The sequence below is a fragment of the Homo sapiens genome, chromosome 2 (assembly GCF_000001405.40).
Source record: "Homo sapiens chromosome 2, GRCh38.p14 Primary Assembly".
In the NCBI taxonomy this organism is placed as follows: Eukaryota; Metazoa; Chordata; class Mammalia; order Primates; family Hominidae; genus Homo; species Homo sapiens.
The window spans coordinates 144,767,771-144,782,714 of NC_000002.12; the positions used below are offsets into that span (position 1 = coordinate 144,767,771).

The 14,944-nt window shown below is 35.6% G+C and overlaps 1 long non-coding RNA gene across 1 annotated transcript in view; it reads left to right on the forward strand.

The window, feature by feature from the left end:
• TEX41 (testis expressed 41) overlaps positions 1-14,944 on the forward strand; it is a 408,763-nt gene that overhangs the window by 99,804 nt on the left and 294,015 nt on the right. Inside the window, exon 2 of the long non-coding RNA NR_033870.2 lies at positions 328-510. This is a non-coding gene — a long non-coding RNA (testis expressed 41). The remainder of the gene's footprint in view (positions 1-327; positions 511-14,944) is intronic.

The following is a 14,944-nucleotide window of genomic DNA, read 5'->3' on the forward strand; positions in this document are numbered from 1 at the left end:
ATCAATGTGTCTTCTCCACTATTAAATATTAAAAGCTCTGTACTGGTTATCTTATGACTGCACTTCCAGTCCACTCTCTGCCAGGGAGACTGATTCCAGGTACTGCCCTCTGCTTTCTGATTGGTCTCTGTCAAGACTGACAATGGTAGAGCAGAGGGTTCTGTGAAGAGAGTGGGATTGGGATGTTGATTCCTCGATTCTCTCTCTGGTGAGTGGCTGTAGGGTGGCTGGGGTGCTCTAGCAAAGCCACAGTCCCTATTGAGTAAGTCATCCTCTGCACACACACTCTCAGGGATATGGTAACCATTCTTTCCTTTGACCCTTCAGGCCTCACGTGTACCAGCTCTCTGCTCTCCTTTGCCTTGGGACGTTCCATCCCTGGAAGTTTCCCTGCCCACATCTTTGTAGAGAGTCCATTCTCCAAGCTTCAGTGTGTCATCTGTGAGGACCGTGACCCACCTGGTACATCGCCTCAGGGCATTCATTTCAGGCTCCTTCTAAATGGCCAAGGTACAGTTGACTAAATACCGTACTTCATTTCTGGTATGTTTGGAGAGACATCTGTTTTTTGCATTTGGTCTTTCACTCTTTGTTTTTCTCCGGGAGGATTATACTTTGTTTGTTCCTCTCAAACTTTACCCAACTGAGAGTGCTATAGAGTGCTGTGATTTAAATATCAACAGATTTCTAGGGACATATGCACTCTCAGAAATATGTGCGTTCTCAGACCTGAGTACCCTGGTGTGGGCTTCGTGGTATTTTAGGAAGCATGAATTGAGATCTGAGGGCACTAGGTTTATCTTGAAAGCAGATGTAGGTAAATTGTCTCGGCTCTGCTGTGATCTCTAAGATTATGAAGGTATCTGGAACTCAGGGGAAAAAACATCTATTTTATCACATCATTGAAAGTAGTTTCTTACCATTTATTAAACATTGGCTTAAAATAATGATTTTGCCATTTTTTTCCTGTCACATTGCAAATGCTTATCTATTGCTTTGACTAAGTTTGCATGCCTGCATTTCACCCTTGAAAAAGTAAAGTGTTCAGTTTTTTCTTTTTGTAGATAGTATTTAGATCACCTTTATCAATCTTAAAATAAGAAACCTAATAAAAATAACTCCAAATTGCAAGGCATCTCTTTAATACATAGATACTTTGTATCTTCATTTTAGTTGAAAAGTTAAAATTATCTGTAGAGAAAGCATAAGACTAGATGATACCTTTTAATCTATTGTGAGAGATATGTAACATGTCAGCAGATGACAAAAGTAGGAACTGTTTTATAAACCTCCAATCATCAAATAAGTGACATGTTTGAGTCAATCAATTTAAGAGGTTCCCAGTCCACTGATGAAACCATTTGAAGAAAATGTGCTGTTTGATGTTACAGAAGCCAAAAGCTGTATAAATGTGTCATCTGTTTTTCATTTTAATTCACTGTTTCAGAAGTATTTACTGTGTATTAAAAAATCTTTTTACCCTTTCAAATCTTTTGGACAACCTGGAAAAATTGAGAACAGTTTAAGATCTATCCATAAAAGCACATTCTCAGCTGAGTTATCTTGTTCCTATGTGGTGATATTAATCATATTACATATGAACTTTTAAAATCAAGTAAGAAGGCTGTCATTTGACTAAGTAGCTGCTGATTTTTAAACAGAATCTGTAAATATATATCTATATGCTGAAAGCTTTTAGTTCAATCAAAAATTAAAGGTTTTTTTAATACAGTATAAATCTGAAAGGTATTTCTAGGTTCAGACAAAAATATCTGGAAGGATGTTGCCTTTAAAAATAAAGCCTTTTTTGTAGGACAATCTCTGTTTTAAGAAATGAGATTATTTCATATTGTTGTCCATGAGAAAATATTACTAGACTGAGAGATTCTTCTTATTTAATTCTCCCTCCAACGCCATCCTTCCCTTGCAATGAACGCCCAATCACCGTTACTTTTTTTCTCACTATTTAAAAACCTCTCTCTTGCCCACAGAGTTGCTTTTTTAAAAGATCCCTCTCTTTTCCTAGATGCTCTTCTTTCCTCTTTTCTCTGCCCTCACCCTGGCCACACCCTCCTGCCTGGGTCCATCCGGTCCTACCTCTTGACAATGCTAATTTCCTCTTCTCAGTTTGGCTACTAAATTTTACACTATGCCATAAACAGGCTACTTGTGATGCCTCTGGTTATTCGTAATGCATAGCCAAAAATACACTAAGTGCCACCACTCCTTAATTCACTGATTTCTAGCCAGAAGCAGGGAGAGAGGAAAAATATCAGTGCTTTACTTTAAAGCCATTGTCTTCCATTGGTTTTCATTAAAGGGACAGGAGAATTATATGTAAAATGTAATAATCTTCAGGTTTTCCTGAGCGTTTTAACAAGCCACGTTCAGGCAGTAGGGTTGGAAAGTGATGAGGGAAAACGACAAGGGTGTTGAAAGTCCCTAAACGGGATCCTGTAATTTCTAGAAAAGAAATGGTTCTGCAAACAGGAGACATGATTACATAGGCTTAATTAACAGTTCAAAGTATTGGGGAGGACTTATCATGGTAGCACGCATGTTTCTCGTTCTTTAATGAGTAAATGACCCATTTGAGTGCATGAGCACATATCAGAAGCACATGGCGATGAAGAAGTGTGGTGGTGGTAGATCTGATCAAAGGTTTTCAAAACTGACTCCAAGTATTTGATGAAGAAGATTAACATGGAGACAATTTACCAAACAAATACAGCATAAAGAGCCAAGAGACCTTCTAAGGGACTTCAAGGCTCCAGCTTGCCCACATAAAGAATATCATTAAACAGAAAGAAAACAAAGACCAGAATAAATATCTTGTATACTGAGTCCATAGAGTAACAGAACTGTCGATTGATGATTTTTTTTTTGCTTTATTTTTTAATATACACACTAGAGGATGTTTTCAGTTTTTAAATGCAAAACAAAGCAATGCAGTTGACCTGGGTTCTAACTGGGTAACTCTCTTAAGTGTTCTAAAAGATTTCTGGACCAGAATTGGTTAATTAGTGCTTTGTGTTGCACTGTGTTACATATGACCTAACCAGAGATAAAAAGGTTTAAAGGTCTCTTGTAACCCTGCAATGCCATTTGTAACACAAAAATAACCCCTTTTCATTACTGGCATGCCACTGTAGCACGCAGGTTATTTTTTCCCTTCACTGCAATAAGGGCAGCTTTCGCATCAGAAGAATTCTTGGCAAATTAATGCGCTACCTCTTGGGCTAATTAAATTAGAAAGGATCAAAAATACAGAGCGGCTTTTGTGGTGGACACAATGTCGTGCTTCATGCATCTTGCTCAGAGAGGAATTTCTGCCATTTAGCCCCCTTTTGCCTCTAGCAGTGTTCTGGACTCTCTAACACAGTCAAGTTCCTAATTTGCCTCAATGAGAGAAAATTATTAACTGATAATAAGAAAAGGAGCATTCACAGCTTCAGGCTGGGCTATGTGGAAAAGGGTGATCTACCCAGCACCTGAAGCGCATGCAATTTTTATTAATTCCTGCCTAAAACAATGCATTCAGGAGTAAAATTGCTGTGCAGATGACAAAAACAATTACGCCTTTGATTCGTTCATTCTAAAAATGTGAACTACTTTAGCTCAAATATAACCAGATTAAACAACTAAAGCAGTTGCTCACCTCTCTTTAAATCCAGTTTGGATTGCAGCAAGTGTGTTTTATGTTGAGAAGTTGCCACTGCCACTTAAACTGATTGTTCCTATTGAAATCACTGAGTGCACAAGTGATTTTGACAATAATTAATATTGTTCTCTCTATACTGTGGTCCTTTGTTTGAAGATGACACTGATGATGGTGTTGCTATCTTTATGGGCATTAATCCCAGAAAGAGAGATGGAAGCTCCTGCAGTAAATCCTTGCATGACTATTTGCTTCCGTAGACTTTCTGTGATTTGCTGCTGTTCATAGAGTTTTTAGTTTACAGGTCTGTCTCTTTGCGTTTTAGATATCATGGTAGCTTTGATCAAAACAAGATACCTTCATTTCTACGTTCTGCAACATCACTAATGGCCTGTTGCTTCCCAGATAGTGTTAGTTCACAACAACTAGAGATTCTTCGGTTGTTGTTTGCTGAGTTTCTTCTACTGTTTTTTTTGGGGGGATAACTATAGTTATCGCAAATTAGTGAATTAGTTGGTTATGCCGTTTTCCAAGTTCCATATGTTCGCAGTTAATAGAGTTTGGACTAACTTATATCTGTAACAACGTGAAGTTGAGTGTATTTATTGATGTATTAATATGAGTGACAAATATGTGTTTCTAAAAAAAGATGTAAAAAGTGTTGTCGATTGTACTATGTCAAACTTCTTATGTCGATCATCAAGTTGGTCATAATTTTTATTTTGCATTTCAAAATGAAAAAAATCCTCATAATGTGGTTGTTTTGTGTGTGTTTTATTAATTTCTGAGTTTCCTTTCAATGTAATAGGAATTAGTGGTTGTTTTGGATATTCTGTTAGGATCTTTGTTTTTTTCTGAGATTTTCTTAGTATATACAAATGCATGATCTTGATCTGCTTTGAAACTTCCAGGTTAAATTTCAATCTTTGCACTATGATCAGAAATCCTTTCCCTGTGTGTAGGTTGGACTAGAACCCAATTCACTGGTGAAAAATTCAAGGGCCATTGTTGATATATGCAAAGTGTCAAACCAGTGGTTTCCCTGAAAGCTCTCTGGAGTCTATTCTAATGTCATTTTCAAAATGTCCTGTTTGAATTCCAAAACATAATGGACATCCAATTTGTTATATTTGAATATGTCACTCTGCTTTTTAAAAATCATTATTTGGGTGCTAAACATTGTTCTAAGCTAGGATTGTCTATTTTGCGCTCATTGGTCATTTAACCATGCAGCTGTAACTTTAACCTGGAACTTCATTCATTCTATGTAATCCATACCTCCTCTTTAAATATTCATCTCAAGCACCACCCACATAAATTTTTCTCAGATTATTTCATATCACACTCATAACATTTTCCCTTCATCCTTCTAGAATTTGATTCATGGAATAGAAAGATTCATGATTGTTATGTACTAAAAAAATCTTGGTCTGGTCTCTGCAATTTTATACATGCATGATCTTTTAATTACTTGAGGATTGATATCATGTAGTTAGTTTTCTTTTATTGCCCATAGCATCTAGCTTGGCATACTGTAGATACTCATTAAAGTCTTTTTGTTTTGCCAATTGCTTTCTTTAATGGGTACCAGGGATCGGTTCTCTTGGCAATGTTAAATGTTTGTGTAAAAAAAAAAGATGTATAGAGGCACTTATATTATATATATGGCTGGGACCTAATTTCTAAAGTCTGGATACAAGAAGAAAATTGTATTTAGACAAAATTACCTTAAGAATCCTTCCTTAGAAAGCTGTCACATTGGAGACCATGGATTCTATTTCCTTAATACGCCCAAAACAGCAAGGTTTTCTCCCAATATTGGAATAGATTGGTGTTTTTTGCTTTAATGTAAATAAAGTAATTAGGCTTGCAGTTAGGGTCATGCGGTAGAAAAGAATGGTTACCTCTATACACTAGACTCATCCTCAGTGCTGGAAACTGTTTAATATATGAGAGGTACATGAGAACCGGGACTGACTGAATGAAGAGTGGCTTCATGTCTCTTATTTCAGGCTAATTCTGTAGAAATATCTGGCAGAATTGCCTTGATACATACATAGTTTTTTTCTGTTTATTTATTTATCTTTTTGGCCAAGTTATGTATAGTTGTGATCATATAACTTAAATGTACATTATGACATGTCTTCATTGTTCAATTGCTTCTTGTTCCAGGAAAATTCTCTCTGCTACATTTTGAACAAGATGTATTCAGTGCATGAACTTCACTTGTAAATGCAGCCTTGGGGGTCTTCTTTTAACCTGGCACCTACTTTGCACTCTTTTGTCTTCATTATGACTGTTTCATGTGTTGGTCAAGACACATCTGACATATAATCCTTTATATGGAAAGGATGTCACTCCTTTAAATTCCAATGTTGTCAAGGAAAGCGCACTTTAGGGAGATGGATATCTGCCAGATTGGGAAAAACCATTAATAACCTTTCTTGCTGCCCCCACTGAATCCTGTAGGATTTTCTCATTGTTCTGCAGGACACATACACACACACACACACACACACACACACACACACACACACACACACACGAGCCAGGTATGTGCTCAACCTCCTTGTTGCATGCTGAACTTTCAGCTTTGCTGTTATGATTTGCCTGAATTTTTCATTAGAAAGCTGACATCTTAAAAGTTTGGAAAAGACTTGCAGTGGGAGGGGCTATTAGTCCTTACTTGGCAGTTCCTTATCTTTAGAAAACGGACTTTCAGGTTAGATTTGCAGGATTTATGGCAGTCTTTACCTTGAAGATCATTTCCTATAACTTAGGGTTGGCTTAAACATAAGATTATATTGATATTAATAAACAGGTCAAACTATTCAGTACTTTTTCTTTGAAAAAGGGTTTTTTTTTTTATCATAACATAGTTTTAGATGGTTGAGATTTGTCTACAACCTCTCATCCTCACATAGTGATTGGATGATTGTAAAAAGTGTTTCACATCCAATCCACTTTTAACAATGGAATGCACATGCTGTCATAAACTTTCATATTAGGAAGGACTGCATAAAAGATGTTATTTCTTTTCTAAATGACAGTTGCAACACCTTAAAGTAGTTCTACAATCTCTTCTTGGTCCTCGCTACTTTTAAGCTTGTATTTTCCCTGAACGTGTATTGGACCCAGAGAAACAGAACATGCCTGACTACTTTCCTTCTGGTATGAGAATGCTGTGCTTAAAAATATCATCTGTATGTGCTTTATTTTTATTTCAACCATACGTGCTTTTATAAGTATTTGAAAAGAAAATATTTTAAAGATTTGAAATAGAAGGAAGGGCTATATGTGAATTACAGCAGCCTCAGGGTAACAGTATCTCACACACTAATGATTCACATGGAGTTTATGTGTCTATTTATGTTGTCATTTATTTAGGGGAGGGGTGGCTAGAGAAAGAAAGCAGTATATAGCATATTACCTAAATACCAGTGGTTTCTGAAAAAAGTAAAAAGAACACCCTGAACATTATCCTCATTTAATTAGAAGCAATCATTACATAATTATTCATATTAATTCAGTTTCTTACAACAGTGTTACATTTATTGGCACTTCCTCTTTTTTTTCTTCTTTGTTCTAAAAGAAGGGAGAATTGTTCTTTATTATTTGAAAGGGAAAAGGAAAGTGGTTTTATTTCCTGATAAAGCATTTACAAAAATGTCCACATTTGATGTGGCTCCTGGGGTCACATGGTGTCTGAATGTTCAACATGATCCTGGATCTTTCTGTAATTATTTCAGACTCATTAATAATGGTATCTTTATAGGAACCAGGAAACTTGAACTCATATCTTTGTCATGAATGCAGGATTTATGTTACCAGAGTCTAGTTTCTGACCTTGAGGAAAGGGCTGAAGCATCTAAGCTGTAAGTGATGACATAAAATTAAAAGTGCATAGGGGAACATAGTTAGTGTAGCCTATTATTGATGAGCAAAAGGTGGTATAAATGGGTGAAATATTATTGTCAGCATACCAGGTAGATATTTTTGCCCAGATTACTTATTCACATAGTTTGTTCAAAAACTTAGCTTCCTCAGAGAAGTTATAGGAAATAAAAGAGTTGTCTTCATTTTCATGTGTCTTAATACAGTCCAGATAATTATTATTGCTTAGTGTTAAGCACATAGATTCATTTTTGCCATCATCACAAGCCTGAAAGAAAGGGCAGATGAGTCTGAACAAATTTTCTGAGGTCACTTGTGTGTGTGTATGAATGTGAGATATCCAAAGGAGTAAAGAGTAAAAGTTGGGGAAATTAATTGAAAAATTATTAGTTCTTAAAATGCAGAGGCAAGAATAAATTAAAGCAGATGCACGTTGGGAACTTTCCTTTCTGCTTTACCCACACATCCATTTTTTGTGTGTGTTTTGCAAATGAATAGAAAAGAAGGAGAAAACTATTTCCAGGTGTCTTCACTCAGTCTCTCAGTTTCAGAAATATTGATATATGACTTTACTACTGACAGAGAACAGAGAAAGAGAAGCTCATCTCTTTGACTGCTGTGTTACAAATATAGTTACAAAATGTTGTAGAATAGTCCTTTTGAGTTTCAGATTTGCGACTACAAAAATTAGGCATTTCTTTCTTTCTCCCTTTGCTTGAAAATCAAGTCCACCCTGTCTCGACCACATAAATAGAACAATTTTCCTCTGTGAACTGCTTGATGAGGCTGTGGCCAGATTCATATAAATGTCATAAAAACAGAGTACAGAATGGATTATTTTATGATTAAGATCTGTATGGATCTTTGTATGAATGCAACGTGCTTTGGCAGGGTTCTGCTGCACGCACACTAGTTTTAGTGTGTGTGGTGGAAAAAATGGCCTGCCACATTGTCACTTTAATATCTTTCTGAAAAGCAACAAAAATCACTGGGCTCCACCAAAGGTTACAGCATCGTACAAAGGTTTGGTCTGCTAACCAGTACAGTGTGTTCTATTTCTCATTGAAATAATAACGAGAGTAAGATTCAGTAAAATGCCACAATATTTCTCAGCACTGTCATTAAATGACATGTTGATATCTAATTGTAATCATAGGTGAAACTTTCCTGTTCTCTAATTTATGTAATAAGATTCAATTTTCTTTCTGTATCTTTGATTGTGTCTATGAGCTGAAATCTTTCTCCCTATGTATCTTTCTCTTTCTTTCTTCGGTTCAGGTCTTTTGGGGGAAAGAGATGCTTCATTTAGATTTATTTTTTTGAGACACCAGACAAGCTGCTATCAGTACATGGGTGCCAAGATGGTCCTTTAATAAAGAATTGTGGTTTAAGAATTTCAACCAAAGGATTAATGTATTAAACTGAATAATAGCATCCAGACAGTAGCAAAGATGATGATCAGAGTTGGTGAAAGAAAGATTATTGATCATCTGGCTCTATCAGTCACAAACAGGGAAGAAGAAAACAAAAAGGAGGAAAAGGAGATTAAAGAAACAAAAAATAGTTTAGTAATGCCAGCTGATTCTGTTGCTAATTATAAATCTTTGGCAAGAAGCCTTAGCTATACAGTAACTCTCCAGTTATCTGGTGGTCAGATTTCCAGCAATCTTTACCACTCAGAACACAGATGAGATCCTGGAATTGTATCTCTCATAGCCCTGGCTGCATAGGAACAACTTTCTTTTCTGGATGCATTCAGCTATTCCCTGGAAGGTTTATTAAACTGATTATGCATATACATTTAAGATTGCTTATTTAATATATCTGTTTGTCTGGATTTTTAAAGCCCCTTTAAGTTCTTCTCCAGGTTATGGAGGGAAGTGGAAATAGGGAGGGGGTAAAATGCACTGGGGATGGGGGAAGGACGTGCAGGTTAGCAGGCTATAAAATAAATAAAATAGACATGAATAACTATTATTTTGCAGACAATGAGTATTCAAGAGAGAGATTGCTCAATTGTCTTGATACTTAGAAGAAGGAAAGATAGCTCTTAGCTGTGGAATCCAAGAAAGTCTTCATGGAGAGGGGACATTGTTGTCGGGCCTAGGGGTTATCTAGGATTGAAAAAGGTGGGAACTGGGAGATGGACATTCGAGAAGCCTTGGGGTAATGACCCAGGGATAATAATATTAGGAATCATTAATGAAGTGCTGAAAATTTGGTTGAAGCATAAGGTGAATCTATGAGAGTCATGGAAAATATGGCTGAAGTAGAAATAAAGACCAGGCTATGGAGACTTTTGAACGCCAAACTCAAGTTTTCAGACTTCATTGTAGGCCATTAGAGCTACTGAAAGCATTTGATCAGGGGAGTTGGGATGCTAGGGTTGTTTTGCCAGGGTTGGGACAAGCATATTGGGAGAGTGGAGACAGTAGAGTGGGCAATGTACTACTTGAACTTAGGAGCATTCAGCAGATGACTAGCCCATTGTGGGGGATCACAGGAGAGGCTGGAGAGAGATTTGGAGTCAACTAAGTAGGGGCTAAAAGCAATAGTTAAATTCAAAGATCAGATGAGATTATTGAGGGAAAGAATGTAAATAATGAAAGAACGAGGAATGACAGATCCTTGGAATCTCTATTAGAACAGTACTGGAGGAGTTTGAGAAGTTATATATAGAGAGTATAACAATTAGGAAGGAGGAACATAGACTGCAGTGTTGTAGAAAAGGAAGAGTAGAAGAGGAAGGAGCAAAGAACTAACACACATTGAGTATCAACTCTATATCCAGATCCAGATGTATGCAATGTTATTTAATCTTTCCATGCATCCTATTAGAGATATATTCTTACCCTAATTTTACAAAGGAAGAAATTGATGTTCAGAGGGGTTAGGTTACATGTCCAAAGCCACCAAATAGCAAGTAGCTGAACTGTGATTTATGCTCAAGTTTATTTGATTCCAAAGCCTATGCTTTTGCACTGTTAAATGCTGCCAACAGGTTGAAGCATCTAAGAGAAGAGAAAGGGTTGTTTGACTGGTTTACCTCAGGAGAGTTGTGAGAGCAGAAGCCATATTTCACAATAATAAGAGATAAATGGGTGATGGATTCAATTTAGTTCACATACTGTTTATTGGGCATCTGATGTGTAATGAGGAAATTTTCCAGCTACTGGAAGTCCAAAAACCAATAGAGCTGAGTCCTTGCTCTCAAGGAGTATGAAATTTGGGAGGGACAAAACACACACATAGATCATTTCAATATAATATGGTGTCTGCTTTGAGAACACAGTTTGTCCTTTCAAGAAACAGAATAAAAATTTAATAAAAAGAGCAGAGTAAAGAGTTTTTACATTTTTAAGATAATGTGAACTTGAAGATGTTTGTAGATTGATTGGATGGTGCATTGGTGAAGGGGCCAGTGAAGATGTTAAAATAAGAGCAGATAAGAGGAGAATGGCAGACATATGGGATTGGGAGGGTGGGCAGTAGACTTGAGAAAAAAACAGAATAATCTGATAATATTCATGGATATATTTAATAGATGCCCATTACTATCTTTGCATATTCTATGGAAAAGTAACTGACCTGAGAACATTAACTTAATATTTTGTTTTGGATCAATATTGTTTGTTAGGCAGGCTACTCTGCCACCTTTGGCCACCCTTGGTGTTCCATTTATAGCGGGCATAAACTCTGAGCAGTCAAGTTCAAGGTCGAAAAAGTCCTTTTAATGTATTTGTGCTTAGGAAGCAAAAGTTGAAAACCACATCTGGGGCAGATAGAAGAGTCTAAAGATGATTATATGAGTTTCAAATTCTGGCCAATTTTTAAACATAAGGCAAACAAACAGATACACAAATTATATAGAAGTATCTATTTTGTTTAATCATTCTAATTTTAAAGGGTAAATAATTAAAGTACATTTCAATACTGTGATTAGAGGCCACAAAAACTTTGTCCAAAAAACAGTGCTTATTTCTCATCAGAAACATCTAAGAGGAAAAGAAAATGTTGTGTTCTTATATTAGAACAGCTTTGCTTAAATGATATGGTTGTCATCTCATTGTTTAATGGGAATAGAAAGTAACCAGAAATCTTGTGTTCATAGTGTTCCCTATAAGCTGTTTGCCTTTTTGAGTTGTAGTGTCTTTTCCCTATGTTCCTATGTATTTACAATTTTTCTTGCAGAATTCAGGATATGATCTATGATGATGTAGCCTCTCCCTGCCCCCACCCCTCATCTCTCTCTTTCTCTCTATATATTTTCATACATTATTATTTCTTATTAGCAACTGTAGTTCTGAAAATAAAATTTAATAATGTATTTTGCTAGAGCAATAAATGCCATTATGTGCTTAAAATGGAAAGATGGATGTGAAACTCAATGATACCCTAGTATTAATACAAAAAAGGCACCTAGAAAGAATGATCTGTGTCTGCTAATGTTTGACACAGCAGATATTAAATAAATCATTTCTGCTTCTCAAGAGTAAAAGTTTTTTAAATCATTTCAATTCTGGTAACAATGCAAAAATACTTGAACAGTTCTTTTTTTTAAACCATACAATAATAGTCATATGGTCTGTAATACCAATAATCACAAGTTTGTTAATTTACTAGAAACAATTATGACTTTCTTTAGAGCAATGTTAAGTGGAGTAAGCTCTGGACTTGATGAGCGTAATTTAGTTGTTCAACTCTCAGTAGCACTACTGGGACTCTGTGATGGAAGATTCCCTCATGGAATTGAGACGAAAAGCATCCATAAATCTGGTGTCAAGAGAAAAGTCTGCTATTGTGTAAGAGATATAACAGTATCTTTGTTACCTCAGGATTATGAAGATTATAATCTTTGATCATTCATGTTATTGTCTTTCTTTATCACCAGCAGTATCTTAACTATATCGATCAATGCTATATGGATTTGCTTCTGGATATATGGAAAAAAGAGACTAAGAGACCACCACTGATTTTCAAAAGCAACAATAATCTAACAGCAAATTTCAAAAATAGCAATAACATTTTATTTAGTTTTTGAAATGTATGTTTTATAATGCTTTCTATTTCAATTTCTAATAAGGTTAAAGCCCTAACCCAGCCCAAAATGACCTACAGCCCACAAGTTTTATCTCATGTTTTGAGAATCTCATAATGACTTTGGTCTTTTTTACTGAATCGTAAAACTGTGGTCCACTCACATTTTATCCTAGTATTATAATGCTATAATTCAACAGGATGCTATAGTATTCTATAATCTTATATCATATATAATAGTTTTCTTCCTTCCTTTTCAGTTTCAGGGTTGTTTATGTAATTGGGATTTTTTCTCTCATTTTCTTTTTTTCAGTTTTCTCCACAGTCTTATCAAATTACCTCTTTTTAAGTCTCTTTTTCTTTTTTTTTTAAAAAAAGCCATTTCTTTCACCCCTATTTATTCATATTATGTTCTTTAATGACATTTTATTTTATACTGATCTAGGAATACCGTAATCATGGGGCAGTTCTCAAAGGGATTCGAGAGAATACGCATAAAAATCACTTGTCTACTACTGTATTGGTTGCTGGTGCTAAAATTTTTACCCTCATTGTTTATAAGTATCTGTTCCTAGGTGAAGACAAATATCTCAAAATAAACTGTTTCTTTTCAGAGGTGATTAGAACTCTAACAAATGTTTCAGGACCATACTAAGAGGCTGTAACCATTGACTGTGGTGGACGTATCAGATTGAAGCCCTGGGGCATGGCCACATCATTATGACAATAGTTTAAGTTGTTAAGAAGCTCAAGGACCAACAAGTGAGAATGTAATTCTCTATCAAGATTGCCAGCTGTTTTTAAGTGTTTGGAGACCAAGATGAAGACCACAAGAATCAGTGGCAGATTGTCAAAGCAATGATGCAGAAGCCTACCATTACCATTATGAGCCACAAGAGGTACAATTGTGTTTTCTGCGATGATGAAATCCTCGTTGAGCTCATTGAAAGCCTGGGTATAATTAGTTTGTAAACATTTCTGGAATTCAAAACTTTTTTTTTTTTTTAAGGAAAAGAATGATCTGAATATATAGCAAATGAAATAGTGCCTATGTTTGTGAGAGGAAACTGGGAAAGAAAGTCATTTGCACAGTTATTTTACTGACTTAAACATTCTTAATTAGATTTGTGGATTTTATATGAGAATGTGTAAAGGGGCATACTGCTAAACTTTTGCTCTAAAAGCTTTTTTTGGAGCTCAATGTAGATATATGCTTTTCTACTGGGAAAATGTAACGAGAGAAACATCTATCAGAATTCTTGTATTTAAATCTACCTCCATTCAAGACAGTTTCAAAGATTATAACAATAATCTGGAACTTGAAATATATGCAAATCTAGGTTTGGAATAGTTATGCTAATTCTGGGAGGGAGATGATATCACTTTTATTCATCTTCCTTTTAGTGTCTTTTAGTGAATTAGTCCCCTTTTATTAAATAATAAAACTCTTACTTTCAACATGACAGATAGAATCCTGGCTTCAGGGTGATGGCTATTAAAATAACCCACGCCTAAACCCAGAATTACACATATTCCTTCCTACTTTATGCTTCGAAAATAGCCTTTCTGTATGCTAGTAGAGGACCCAATATATGGCCTCAACAGGTGTGTTATACATAAGGCAGTATTTAAGACTATAGATTTAGACAGAAATTGGATCAAATAATGAGACCTTAGAAAAAGTGTATGGTCATCTTCTTATGCAAAATATGAGTAATGTTATCTAATATCTAGGATTATTGAGAAAATTACACATGATAATACCCATACATTTATTGACACACTACCTGACATTTCATAAATATTCAACAAATAATAGCTATCACAGTTAGAATTGTCTTAAATTATCCTGGCCCCCCATGGTTCACACAAAGTCTTTTTTTTAACCACACATTTACCACTTGGTGAGGTCGAGGCAATTTGGTATACCTCTCTTTGAAGTGGTTGGTTAAATTTACCATGAATAGTTAAACATAGTAGGTTTAAAATGGCTATCATTGTGCAACATTAGATAGTGATCCATTTAGAATGTGTAATTATGTTTTTCATATGATATAATCCTTTTTTAGATTTTTTTAATAAGCTGTTTGCAGTCAGCGTTTACTGTATTTGGTAGTCAGTGTTTACCGTAGTTTGGAAAGCATATTGTACGTGGTAGAAAGACATACTGGTGTAAGAATAGGATTGAATATAAGTGATGAGTTGGATGTTTTCACTTGGGACATACAGGATCAGCTTGTACAAACTTCTTGTTTAGTAGGTGATATAACTGAGGTTCAGGGGAGTAAAATGATTTGCTAAAATAGCTAGAGCCATAACTGGAACCCAAGGCTCTTGACTTCTGGTACTGTGGTA